This window comes from Homo sapiens, chromosome 8, assembly GCF_000001405.40.
Source record: "Homo sapiens chromosome 8, GRCh38.p14 Primary Assembly".
Classification (NCBI taxonomy): domain Eukaryota; kingdom Metazoa; phylum Chordata; class Mammalia; order Primates; family Hominidae; genus Homo; species Homo sapiens.
In genome coordinates this window covers 63,003,013-63,014,944 of record NC_000008.11, presented here as the reverse complement: position 1 = coordinate 63,014,944, position 11,932 = coordinate 63,003,013, and the positions used below count along the sequence as shown (strand labels likewise).

Below are 11,932 nucleotides of genomic sequence, written 5' to 3'. Positions count from 1 at the left end.
CTTTGGGTCTGAGGAGTATTTGTGTGTGTGTGTGTGTGTGTGTGTGTGTGTAGGTATGTGTGTATAGGTATGTGTGTGCATGTGTGTATCTACTTTTCTGCCCTGTGTTAACTTCATATTTAAAGCGTACACATCCTGAAAACAGAGTCTGTGTCTTGAACTTTTTATCTTTCACAATGTCCATAATGTCTAGCCCAGCAGGCCCTCAGTAAGTAATTGTCACTAATTATAAGTTTTTTTCCCATGGAAAATAATTTAAAAGCTGTCATATATTTATTTTGGTACACTTTAATGTATTTTTCTTTTTTTTTTTAAGATGGAGCATCTCTCTTGTTGCCCAGGCTGGAGTGCAATGCTGCAATCTCAGCTCACTGCAACCTCCGCTTCCTGGGTTCAAGCGATTCTCCTGCCTCAGCCTCCTGAGTAGCTGGGATTACAAGCATGTGCCATCACACCCAGCTAAATTTTGTATTTTTAGTAGAGATGGGGTTTCGCCATGTTGGCCAGGCTGGTCTCAAACTCCTGACCTCAGGTGATCTACCAGCCTCGGCCTCCCAAAGCGCTGGGATTACAGGTGTGAGCCACTGTGCCCAGCCAACATTAATGTATTTTTCAATCCGTGCTACTCTCCTCCACCCCTCACCATCCCATATAACCCTCAGAAGTATGAAATTTAGGAACTCCTTGAGGACAACCAAGCTGCTGGAAGGAAGAGAGAGAGGGTTTGCTGAGCTGTGTCTGGTAAATGGTGTTTATGCATCTGTTCTCTGTGGGCTTCCAGAGCTTCTGCAAGAGAAGGGGAAACAGGAAACTGATTGGGAATGATATTGGAGGGCATCGTGGATGATTTTACCTGCAACAAGAGAAGAACAATCACCTGCAGACACTGAGCTAAGCCATAATCTTTGGGGAATGAGGACAAATAGCACATAGAAATTGGAAGAGATTAATACATTTAATTAACCAAGAAAGAACCTTACTAGAAATGTGGCAGATTTAGTTTCTGTCCATGAATATGAAGATTCTTTGTTGAGTCTTACTGTTGAATGTGTCTGGCTAAGTTTTTGTCTCCCACCTCTAGAAAAAGGTAGTGACACTATTATTGCTCACGGTGCCAGGGTTCTTCCTAGCCCATTTGTGTTGAAACCATATAGAACTGCTTGTCTCTGCAGTTCCCAAGAACAACTTCATCCTGACTCTCTGGATACTCATGATGCTGCATCCTCCATCCTTTTGCCCTGAAGACTGGCTTCCAAAGATTCTTACTGTGCTTCATAGAAGATGACCACAAATGCAAGAAAATGTGTTTTCTGCTCATGTTCAGCTTATTGTTTTTCCCCTCATGTATTTTTTTTTTGAAGACTTTGTTTGCTAGATCACTTTATTCCAAGAATGGAATCTCTTTCAAAGCTGACCACACCCTTGCCTCTGCCCACCACCACCAGCAGGAAAGATAGGCCAGCTTGAAGGCAAATGAGGAGAGCAGTGCTGTTCAGAAGCCTGGCGTCCCTACACCAGCGGAGGCAGGAGAGGTCGTCGATTAGAGGTGCCTGTTGAAGTTGCTGGGCAGCAGTCCGGAAAGCCCTTAGAGATGGATAGCCACTCCTGGAGGACGGCCTGACGTGGGGAGCCTGGGGAGGAGGGGAGATCACAGCCCTCTGTCAGCAGGAGAGGGCAGAGGCTGAAAGTGTGACTGAGGGAGCAGGTGTGGATTAGAAAGAATAAGAAGAATGAACAGAAACAGGAAGGACTGGGTGGGTATGGAAGAGATAGCTAATGTGTACCCTTCCCCAGCCAAAGCTGACTTGAGTTTCCAAGGGTTTTTGGAGAGCGATTGCCAAAGCTCTTACCTCCAGCATTTCCAATTCTCTTCCTGTGTGGAATATCCCAAATGGAGTAGAAACGCTGGGCTTCAGAGGCAGACCCTGCAGTCATTTCTGCTGAGCCAGATGTTTCTGAGGGCCCACAGCTTCATGTATCTTGAGGGCTGGCACAAGATATTTTATAAGGAGATGTTGAGTGTCTCCATTTCCACATAGCAGAGTAGGGAAATCCTCAAAACCTTGTCAGTAGGCCGAATCCGTCGTTGCACAAATGGTGCTATGAGAGTCCTCACACCTGGAGCCTGGTGCACAGAAGGGCTGCATGTGCTTCCCCATCTTCCCTCCCTCCATTGCAATAATCAAGCAGCCCTACCTACATGCTGGGTCTTTCCATTTTTATCGAATTGCAAGAAAATATTTCAAAGAATTTTCTCCTATGGGAAGAATTAAGCAAAAAAGGTCTTTCACTCCTCAGAAACAGCTTTGTTGTTTGCTTGGGATTTCATTTCATTTAAACAAACTTGTTTCAAAAATGAATACAATTTTTGTTCCACATAGCATTTTCATTCTTTTATTTTTTTGAAACGGAGTCTCGTTCTGTCACCCCAGGCTGGATGAAGTGCAGTGGTGCAATCTCAGCTCACTGCAACATCTGTCTCCAGGATTCAGATGACTCTCCTGCCTCAGCCTCCCAAGCAGCTGGGATTACAGGCACGCACCACCACAGCTGGCTAAATTTTGTATTTTTAGTAGAGATGGGGTTTCACCGTGCTGGTCAGACTGGTCTTGAATTCCTGACTTCAAGTGATCCCCCTGCCTCAGCCTCCTAAAGTGCTGGGATTACAGGTGTGAGTCACTGTGCCTGGCCAGCATTTTTATTTTAATATTTAAAAATTAACTGGGGTTCTCCAGAGAGGGCCCCACCGCATACCCTGGGGGAAGGAATGCTGACCTTGCGAAGCTTCCATTAAAGCCCAAGAGGATGGAGTTTGGAGAGCTTCTGGATAGCTGAACACAGGGAGGTTCCTGTAGAGTGATGCGCCCAGGGAGGGCATGGAAGCTCTGTGCCCCTTCCCTGGTACCTTGCCCTATGTGTCTCTTCGTCTTTGTCCTTTGTAAGTCCTTTATAATAAACCTGTAAACATTAAAAAAGAAAAACTGGTGTTTTGCAGTAATGTATTGGAAACACTAGATGTCAGGAGAGAACAAGCTAACCTAATGTTTAGCTGGTTGTGTTTGCGTTCAATTATTTAGAATAATAGATTTCAGGAAATTGTTAGAAACCTAAGGAATATTTACCAGTAAATTATATTTATTAAATATTGTATTTAATTTATTTAAATATATATTTATTTAAATATAAACATAAACATAGACTTACACCTAATACTGGATATTTTCCATTCTGATCTATGAGGAGGTCCTGATGACTCGATAAAAACACTTTTAAGCATCTATTAAGGGCCAGGTGCTATCATGTATATAAATCTGTAGATTGTACATACAATTCCAATTTTCTTTCCCCTGATGCTTAACTGGCCAAAATCTAGGCTAGCAGAGTGTTTCTTTGGGTGGGTGAAGAAAGAATCAACACCTCATATAATGAGAGATGCTTCTGGGAAAGCTTGCAGGGAAGGTACCAAATTAATCAAGCATTCCTTGGTCATTTCTAAGGATGTGGGCAGGAGAAGTGCTTCAAATGAACATGAACTTGGTTTGCATTTTTCTTTTTCTATAGCATAAGGTTTCTCAACATAATGTACTCTAAATCTTGTCATGGTTTCCCCTCCAAATTCAAGGGAAAGTTTCTAATCATTAGCTTTCTTGTTGAACTTGTTCCTTTTTGCATAAATTTGGCATGCTTTTAGGCTTCCAGTTCTCTGACATTTGTTATAATTTCTCATAATCTTAATTTAAAGCCAGTTTGTTTCATAGCATAGATCCCTTTAGAATTTTACAATAACACTGTAACATCTTTTGCTATAGTTCAGCATTCAAGTTAATCCCAGAAGTTTTTCAGGGAGAAACTCAAGGTTTTGAGGGAATTAGAGAATCTCAGAATGGAAGAGAATTTAGATGATCACACTGGGTAGTGGGAAGACTGTATTTTCATTAATGAAGCTTACATAGTATTTGTTTTAGACCAGTCACGTCACTCCTGGATTATTACAATGAACTGTTCACAAACTAAGAATTGCAATTCTTTCTTAACCAGTTTGTATGTCATACCTTCCATCCAGCTTCCCAGTGGAGAAGAGTGGACAGGTGCACCAGAAGTCAGGATGCCAAGGGTCATGTTTTATGTGTGCCATTTACTAACTGTGTAACATTAGCCATGAAAGCTTCTATTTATATTCTGCATACTTTGAGTCCTTTAAAATTGTCCTTCGTTTTTAAACTGAGAAAAGATGCTTTTTATTTTATAGTCTCTGATAATCTAAAAAATTATTTCATACACTTTTAATAAAATTAATAATTTGTACAATAAGTGTTCAACTTGAGCAGCTAGAAGAGCAATTTTACTTTGCCAATAGTTAAAACTATCCTTTCTCTTTCAGTTTTGTAAAATGAAGTGAGGATGGGAATTTGCATTTTTTTCTTCTCTAGTTAAAAGAATCTAAATTACTTGGTTCCTCTTTGCTCGTCTCTACCCAAGGACAAAGGAGCTAACAAATAATGTATGCGAATCTGTTAGTATAATTAAATATAATGATTGACCCCAGTTTTGAGGGAAAATAGCCACATAAAACAAGATTTCAACTTAGAATAGACTTCAGAACAATAACAATGTAACGATGATAATAAAAAATTGAATTAAGGAAGTCCTTTTGTTATTTCCCCTTGGCCTATTTTCACACAGTTGCAAATACAGTTTGTGTTCTGCTCCTTTTACTTAACTAGATCAAAAGCACGTTTCCTCATTGCTGCAGGGCCGCCTGAGCTGCTGGGTCTTTACCCTCTGGGAGGGTTGAATTGCCCTGCCGAGTGACTAAGCTCAGCAGGCTAGGATTGGTCACTGTAGGAGGTGGATCCAGGGTGCAGACAGGTCAGGAATTCTACTTTTATGGCCCAAAGTGGGGCAGGGAAGCAGATCCAAGTCAAAGTCCACCTGCGGAATCAAAGTGCAAGAGCCAAAAGGACCAGAGCAATTTAGTAACGGGACAATGGAGTCTGGAATTAGGAACGGAACTGAAGAAAGCTTGACATGCAAGCAAGTTCCCACAAGCCAAGAGAGTCCAGGACAAGTGCCCCAGTGTCTGATGGAGATCGCAACTTACTTTATGGTGTTCAGAAGGGTGACTAGGGGCTTGTCTCTCTGTCTTGGAGATACACTATCAAGAATTACACTTTAAAAAATTTTCAACGACTGCAAGACATGCCATCTGGAAAAGCTGCCAAACACTTGCCTCCTTTGGGCATGAAGGATGGTTCCTTTAAAGCCAACACAGACTGACGGAAACCCTGCTTCTTCCAACATTCAGGTGCAGGCTCCCTGTTGAGGCCTCCTGGGTTAGAATTGCTCTAGGCCACCAGCCACTGCATACCCCAGACCTCTTCTCTTCCACGCTCTCCCTGGTCTCTCCCCCAGAAGGGGTTTGATATGCAGGATTTTTTTCTTATCCAGCACTCTTGGGTGTGTGGATCTTTGGGGTGATTTGACTGGCTTTGTAATTAACTGAGTAATGTAAAAGTTCAGACTGCAGCCCCAGCCTCGGGCTCAGCTGCGCCAGTGTTTGCTGCCTTGTGGTTAGAACATGACTGAGAGCAGAACATTACCACATGTGGGGAAGACTGGACTGCCCAGCCCAGCATTCACTGGGTAAGTTTAGTTCAGGCAGAAGTGGTGAGAGACCTCATTTTGGCCTTGTGCTTAAGCAGTGCAGCTTTACAGAACAAGAAAATTGGCCAAGCATCGGGGCTCATGCCTGTAATCCCAGCAGTTTCGGAGGCTGAGGCATGAGGATTGTTTGAGCCCAGGAATTTGAAACCAGCCTGGGCAATAGAGCGAGACTCTGTCTCTATTTAAGAAGAAAAAAAAAAGAGCAAGAAACTGATTACTGCATTTGAATCCTCTCCCCTGTGTATAGAAAAAACAAAACAAAACAAATAAACAAACAAAATAAACCCCTGAAGGACCAGGCTTCCTGAGAGTCCTTAATACCTGCACAAAAACAAGCTGCATAAAAGTCCTTGCTCCCCTTTACCTTGGGCTTTGGCTTAAAATCCTTCTGAAAATGAGGTCCGCTGCAGTGGCCTAATGTTGCTGCAGCTTCCTGGAGCTGGACCTCACTGCCTTCTTCAGCATACCCTCAGTGTGCCTATCAATGCTTCCCCTGGCTGGCAGGGGCCTCATTTGCAGTGTCTGCCAGGCTCAGTTCCATGTTCATCTAGTCCTCCCACAGGAAGGGGTTCCAAGTCCAGATTGAGGGAATGCTAACCTTAGGACATCAAGCGGTTTCAGAAGCTCTTGTTTGTTGTGCAACAACTCTATGTTCTCCTAGTTTAGTGGTTTAAAATAACCATTTTATTTAGCTTCTGATGCCGTGGGACCACTGGGCAGTCCTTGTCGTCTGGGCTGGCAGCAGACAGACAACCATGTGTCCTTCCTGAGACCCAAATCCTCCCAGGATAAGCATATGAGATGCTGAAAGCATCGCGAGGGGGTTGATTCCTTTTGTATCCATAAGATGTCTTTGTCCAAGCGTTGAGCCAGTTAGATACCACGGACCCCTGAAAACACTGAGACAAGACTGCTCAAATTTGCCAGCTTGGAAGGAAGCTGACACTGCCCATGAGCCCCTTTTAAAATGTAGATTTTATTTTTTATTTAGGTATGGTGAGGCCAACAGATCAGGAGACAACTGCCATTGAAATGATAGTTTATTAGAGTTTCCAGGAGGAGGGGGGCAGGTCAGCCACCCATGCAGGCCACAGGAGGGGCTCTGAGGTCGGTTGTAGGCACAGAGAGTGAGGCGAACTGCCACCTGAAAGAGCCTTTTTGTGGTGTTTGCAGGAAAGCGTGGGTGAGACAGGGTGAGCAGGCTAAGCAGGTTTAAGATTGGCTCACTTGCATAACTCGATGCCCTGCCTGTGCCTGAGGTGATTAGGACAGGGGAATAGTGTCCCCCAGTGCAAGAGCTCATTAAGCAGGGGGTGGGGAGAGGGCTCTGAATTGGTTAGTTTGCTTATGAAAGGCAACCCCACAGGAGGGTTTGTTACCTCTAAGAATTAGCTGGCACTGGGAAAAGTAGCACCCCGCCTCCCCCCACAGGCCCCCCTCCCCTTCAGGAAGGCCTCTCAGGTCAAAGCATCCGATATTGAAGCTAGAAAACAGGTGGTTAATCCAGTCACTTCTGTGCCTTCTGTGCCTTGGCCAGGTGACTTGTGCCATATCTGATCTACAAATGCCCCCAGGAAGTTCTTGCTTGGACTTCTCTTTCTATTTGACTCCTCTTATGGTTGTGAGATTTATGTTACACCCTCATAAAAATGGTAGATGCCATCCGCTGGAGTGCAAGTCCCCCATTCCCTTCTCCACTGATTACCAGCAACAGCTGATGGCTTTATGGATGGCCAAGCCAGCCAACATTTGATCCCAGTGCTCAGTTTGTACCTGGATTCTGAAGCCTCTGAGTCAGGTTCGTTGTTCAGGATTCTTCATTCACAGACCCAAAGCGAATCAGAGCTTTCAGGTTAGGGCCTAGAGCCCCCTGCATCTGGTCAAGCACACCTCTGCCACCATTGCTGCCCATTTCCCTTTCACATGAACTATGGTTTTTACCCTGACTACTTCCTCACTTCCTCTGATAAGATACATACCTGGCCGCTGGTCACTGCCTGGGACAACCAAAGGGTCACCCAAAAGGACCTCCGGGGTGCCTCTGACCCACAGGGATTAGGGATCGTTGCTGCTTTTTGATTCGGCGTCTTCCTTAGCTATGGTGGCATCTGACAGGTTGGGCTACCAGTGTCAAGTGACATCCTGCCCTGGTTCCTGAGCAGGAACTCTGAGATAATTTCCTTAATTTCCAAAATGGGATTATTGGGAAACCTTTGGTTCTTGATTCAATTTCAAAGTTGCTTTCCACAAGAATCAACATATTTTACAGTGTTTCTGACAGCATATTTTGTAATTAATTTATTTATTATTATTATTATTATTTTGATACAGGATCTAGCTCTGTCACCCAGGCTGGAGTGCAGTGGTGCAATCACAACTCACTGCAGCCTTGACCTCCCAGGCTCAGGTGATCCTCACACCTCAGCCTCCCAAGTAGCTGGGACTACAGGTGCACGCCACCACACCCAGCTAATTTTTTATGCTTCTTGTAGAGATGGGGTTTCGCCATGTTGCCCAGGCTGATCTCAAACTCCTGGGCTCAGGTGATCGTCCCCCCTTGGTCTCCCAAAGTGCTGGAATTACAGGCATGAGCCACTGTGTCTGGCAACACATTATGGCACCAATTTTACCAGACCCTCAGTAGCCTTGAATATTATTGAATACTGCTACAGTCTGAATGTTTGTTTCACACACAAGTTCATAGGTTGAGATCCTAATCCCCAAGGTGATAGTATTACGGTGTGGGGCCTTTGGAAGGTGATTAGCGTGGAGCCTTTGTGAGTGGCATTAGTGCACTTATAAAAGAGGCCTGAAAGAGACCTACTGCCTCTTCTACCATGTGAGGTTAGAGTAAGAAGCTGTCCAGGAAACAGGCCCTCACCAGACACCAAATCTGCAAGACCCTTGTTCTTGGACTTTCTAGCCTCCAGAACTGTGAGAAATAAGTTTCTGTTGTTTGTAAGCTGCCTAGTCTATGGTATTTTGTTATAGCAGCCTGAATGGACCAAGCAAGAGAAACATTTTATTTCATTATATGCTAATAAATGAAGAAAGGTACATTACTGTTTCTCTCATTTCTTCATTTCTTTGATGGCTAGTGATAATAAACGAGCTCAGTATTTTTTTTTTTTTGAGACAGAGTTTCGCTCTTGTTGCCCAGGCTGGAGTGCAATGGCACGATTTTGGCTCACTGCAACCTCCGCCTCCCGGGTTCAAGTGATTCTCCTGCCTCAGTTTCCCAAGTAGCTGGGATTACAGGCATGTACTACCACGCCCGGCTAATTTTGTATTTTTAGTAGAGACAGTGTTTCTCCATGTTGGTCAGGCTGGTCTCAAACTCCCAACCTCAGGTGATCCGCCCACCTTGGCCTCCCAAAGTACCGGGATTACAGGCGTGAGCCACCACGCCTGGCAGTATTTGTTTCTTTATTTCTTTAATTATTAATTTTTTTAGAGGCAGGGTCTCTTGGTATTGCCCAGCCTGGAATGCAGAGGCTATTCATGAACATAATCATAGTACAGCCTCCATCTTCTGGGCTCAAGTGGTCCTCCTGCCTCAGCCTCCCAAGCAGCTGAGACGATAGGCACACACCACCACACTAGGCTCAATATTTGTTTTATCTATATTGCGAATTAACTATTCATTTCTTTTACTTTTTATTAGTTTCTTAATGTTTATCTTATTTGGTATACAGTTCTTTTTTTCTTTTGGTACGCAATTCTCATTTTATCTTTCTTTTACCCTACTTTCAAGCTAACAAGTTAGGTATATAGTTCTTTACATAACATTATTAACCTCTTACTTGTCATCTTTATAGAAAATGTTTTTATCTCAGTCTTCTTTGACTTTATGTCTTCTTTTTTCCTTGACGTAAATAAATTTTTCTTTTTATGTAGCCACATTTTTAGATTTTCTTTCAATGTTTGTTTAGCTCTTTCTTTAAGCCTAGAAAGTATTTCCCTCTTTTTTGTTTTATTTTTTTTCTGATTTTCTATATTATAATTTTTAACTCTGTAACTCAACCACGGTTGATTTTGGGATATGAAGTGAAGTTAGTAACTAATTTTTTGTTCTATATTTACAACCAGTTTTTCCAGAATTATTGTCAAATAATCTTCCTCCAGTTATTCATGATGCTGTCTATAGGATATAATGAATTATTGTAAACACTGTTGTCTGTTTTCTGCCATCAATTTTGTTTCATTAATTTATGCTTATTCTTATGCCAATATCTCTCATTTAATTGCAATATATTTGTAACATATTTTAATATAGGACTGACTTTCCCTTATTGGTTTTCTTTTAAAGAATTTGTTTTGATATCTTTTCCTATTTAAATGTTAAGATGAATTTTAGGATTATTTTCTCAAAATTTCCCCTCTCCCCCACAATATGGATTTTATTGGGAGTACAATAAGCCTATGTATTAGTTTGAAAAAAGCCCATATCTTTACAATGTTTAGCTTTTTTGATATGGCAATACACAAAGTGTCTTTTATATCTCCTAGTTCAGCTAAGTAGTTTTTTATATGATACATTTCTCATTGGATTAGTTATTTCATTATCTATTGGTATTTCTCAATGGGATTAATTTATATACTATCTTAGAAAGTTTTAAGTATACACCCCTTGAACCTATCAAAAGAGTATCCCTAAAAATTTTTAAAAGATTTTTTAGGGATGTGGAAGCGGGGAGTTTGTTTCCTAGCATTCCATTGATATGTTTGTCTGTGAATTTTGTACCTATTCTTTTTATTGAGCCATTTATTAATTCTAGCAATTTTAAAATTAATTCCTAAGGGCTTATTATATTACATATATTTACATGTAAATATGCAATTACGTATTGTACATAAATATAATACATTACAATTATTCATTTATATTTTTATACATATGAATATTTCCATATTTTATGTAATGGATTTTTTCAGAAATAAAATAATTGTGCACATTAAATTAAGAGGAAGCTGAATCATTCTGACATTGAAATGGTATAATTAAAGTAGCCTGGTTAAGGCTTACAGACTTCTGCTTTACATGAATAAAAGCATTCCAAGAGGTGATCATCACAGTATGAAGTTTTCCAGAAGGCATGATTCCAAACCAGCTATTTACATGTAGGATCAGTTGTGTGTCCTTTGTTGCTGCTCTGCTACTACCATTAAGCTTTTACCTTTTCTTTGCTTTCAAACAGAAAGGCCTGACAAACTATGAAGGGCTTCAGGGTGCCCAGAAACCACACAAAGGGTGCCCTCCTGTTGAACTGTACCTTAAGGCAAGAACCGATGCTGAGCTAATGAGAGTGTGTCAAGGTATTTCCAGTTCAGTTCTCATCACTTCTAATTAGGGCTTCACGAATTCTGTGAACCTTGCCAGGATTCTTGCTTGGGTCATTTTAATGTGTTTCCATTCTAAAGCCTGGCTGTTAATTTAGATTTTTTTTTTTCTGTAGGATTTCCTGAATCATTATGACTTAAAACTCATTTATTTTGCCTTTTATAATGGAAACTCTTTATTTTGAAATAATTTTAGTCTTACAGGAAAATTGCAAATATTGTACAAAGAATTCCTATTCCCTTCACCCACAGCAAAATGTTAACATTTTACACATTTGCATTATTATTCTCTTTCTCTCCTATTCTCTATTCTCTGTGTACGTGTGTGGTGTGTGTGTATATTCACCGACACATATATACATATTATTTTTAACCACTTGAGATTAAATTGCAGATGTGTTGCCTTTTACACCTAAATACTTCAATGAATATTTCCTAAAAGCAACGACATTCTTTTACATAATATTGCATAATTATCAACATCAACACACCTTATTAAAATTTTACACATTGTCCTGACATCGTCCTCTATGCAAATAAAAAAAGTATTTTCAGGTCTAGAATCCAATTCAGAATCACAAGTTGCATTGAATTTTCACGTCTCCATAGTCCTTAATCTGCTCCTCAGTTTTTGTCTTTTATGACCTTGACATTTGTGAAGACTATAGGCCAGTTATTTTGTAGAAACTTTCTCTTAATTATAAACCTTCAACTAATTCCAGAGGCATGACTTTTAACTTGCAATTGAACTCTCTGATTATCTTAATTTTTCCATGTCTAATCTGAAAACATCTATCTCCAGCTTATTGTTAAAGAATTCAAACATACAAGGGCAGAAACATGGGAAGGGAATTGACATTTGCTGAGCACTTGAAAAGCCCTGGTACAGAGCAGTTGATAAACATTTAATCAGCACATCCTCTTGTAA

The 11,932-nt window shown here is 41.2% G+C and overlaps 1 long non-coding RNA gene across 3 annotated transcripts, besides 3 other annotated features; it reads right to left on the bottom strand.

The window, feature by feature from the left end:
* Positions 535-6,582, bottom strand: LOC107986946 (uncharacterized). Of its 3 annotated transcripts, none has more exons than XR_001745930.2 (4): positions 6,029-6,582; positions 2,776-2,958; positions 1,851-1,987; positions 535-786 (listed from the first exon to the last, which is right to left on the bottom strand). It is a non-coding gene; the product is annotated as an uncharacterized LOC107986946 (long non-coding RNA). The 3 variants fall into 3 exon arrangements; XR_001745929.2 differs by lacking the exon at positions 535-786 and adding an exon at positions 937-1,631; XR_001745928.2 differs by lacking the exon at positions 535-786 and having other exon boundaries at positions 937-1,987.
* Positions 4,494-5,126: an enhancer, noted in NCBI's record as "NANOG hESC enhancer chr8:63922378-63923010 (GRCh37/hg19 assembly coordinates)". NCBI's record gives its function as "activates a minimal SCP1, AML or CMV promoter by ChIP-STARR-seq in primed H9 embryonic stem cells {active_cell/tissue: H9 hESC(primed)}" and the evidence as "EXISTENCE:reporter gene assay evidence [ECO:0000049][PMID:30033119]".
* Positions 4,789-4,848: a silencer, noted in NCBI's record as "silent region_19239". NCBI's record gives its function as "represses an Ori minimal core promoter by ATAC-STARR-seq in GM12878 lymphoblastoid cells {active_cell/tissue: GM12878}" and the evidence as "EXISTENCE:reporter gene assay evidence [ECO:0000049][PMID:35858748]".
* Positions 6,938-6,997: an enhancer, noted in NCBI's record as "active region_27449". NCBI's record gives its function as "activates an Ori minimal core promoter by ATAC-STARR-seq in GM12878 lymphoblastoid cells {active_cell/tissue: GM12878}" and the evidence as "EXISTENCE:reporter gene assay evidence [ECO:0000049][PMID:35858748]".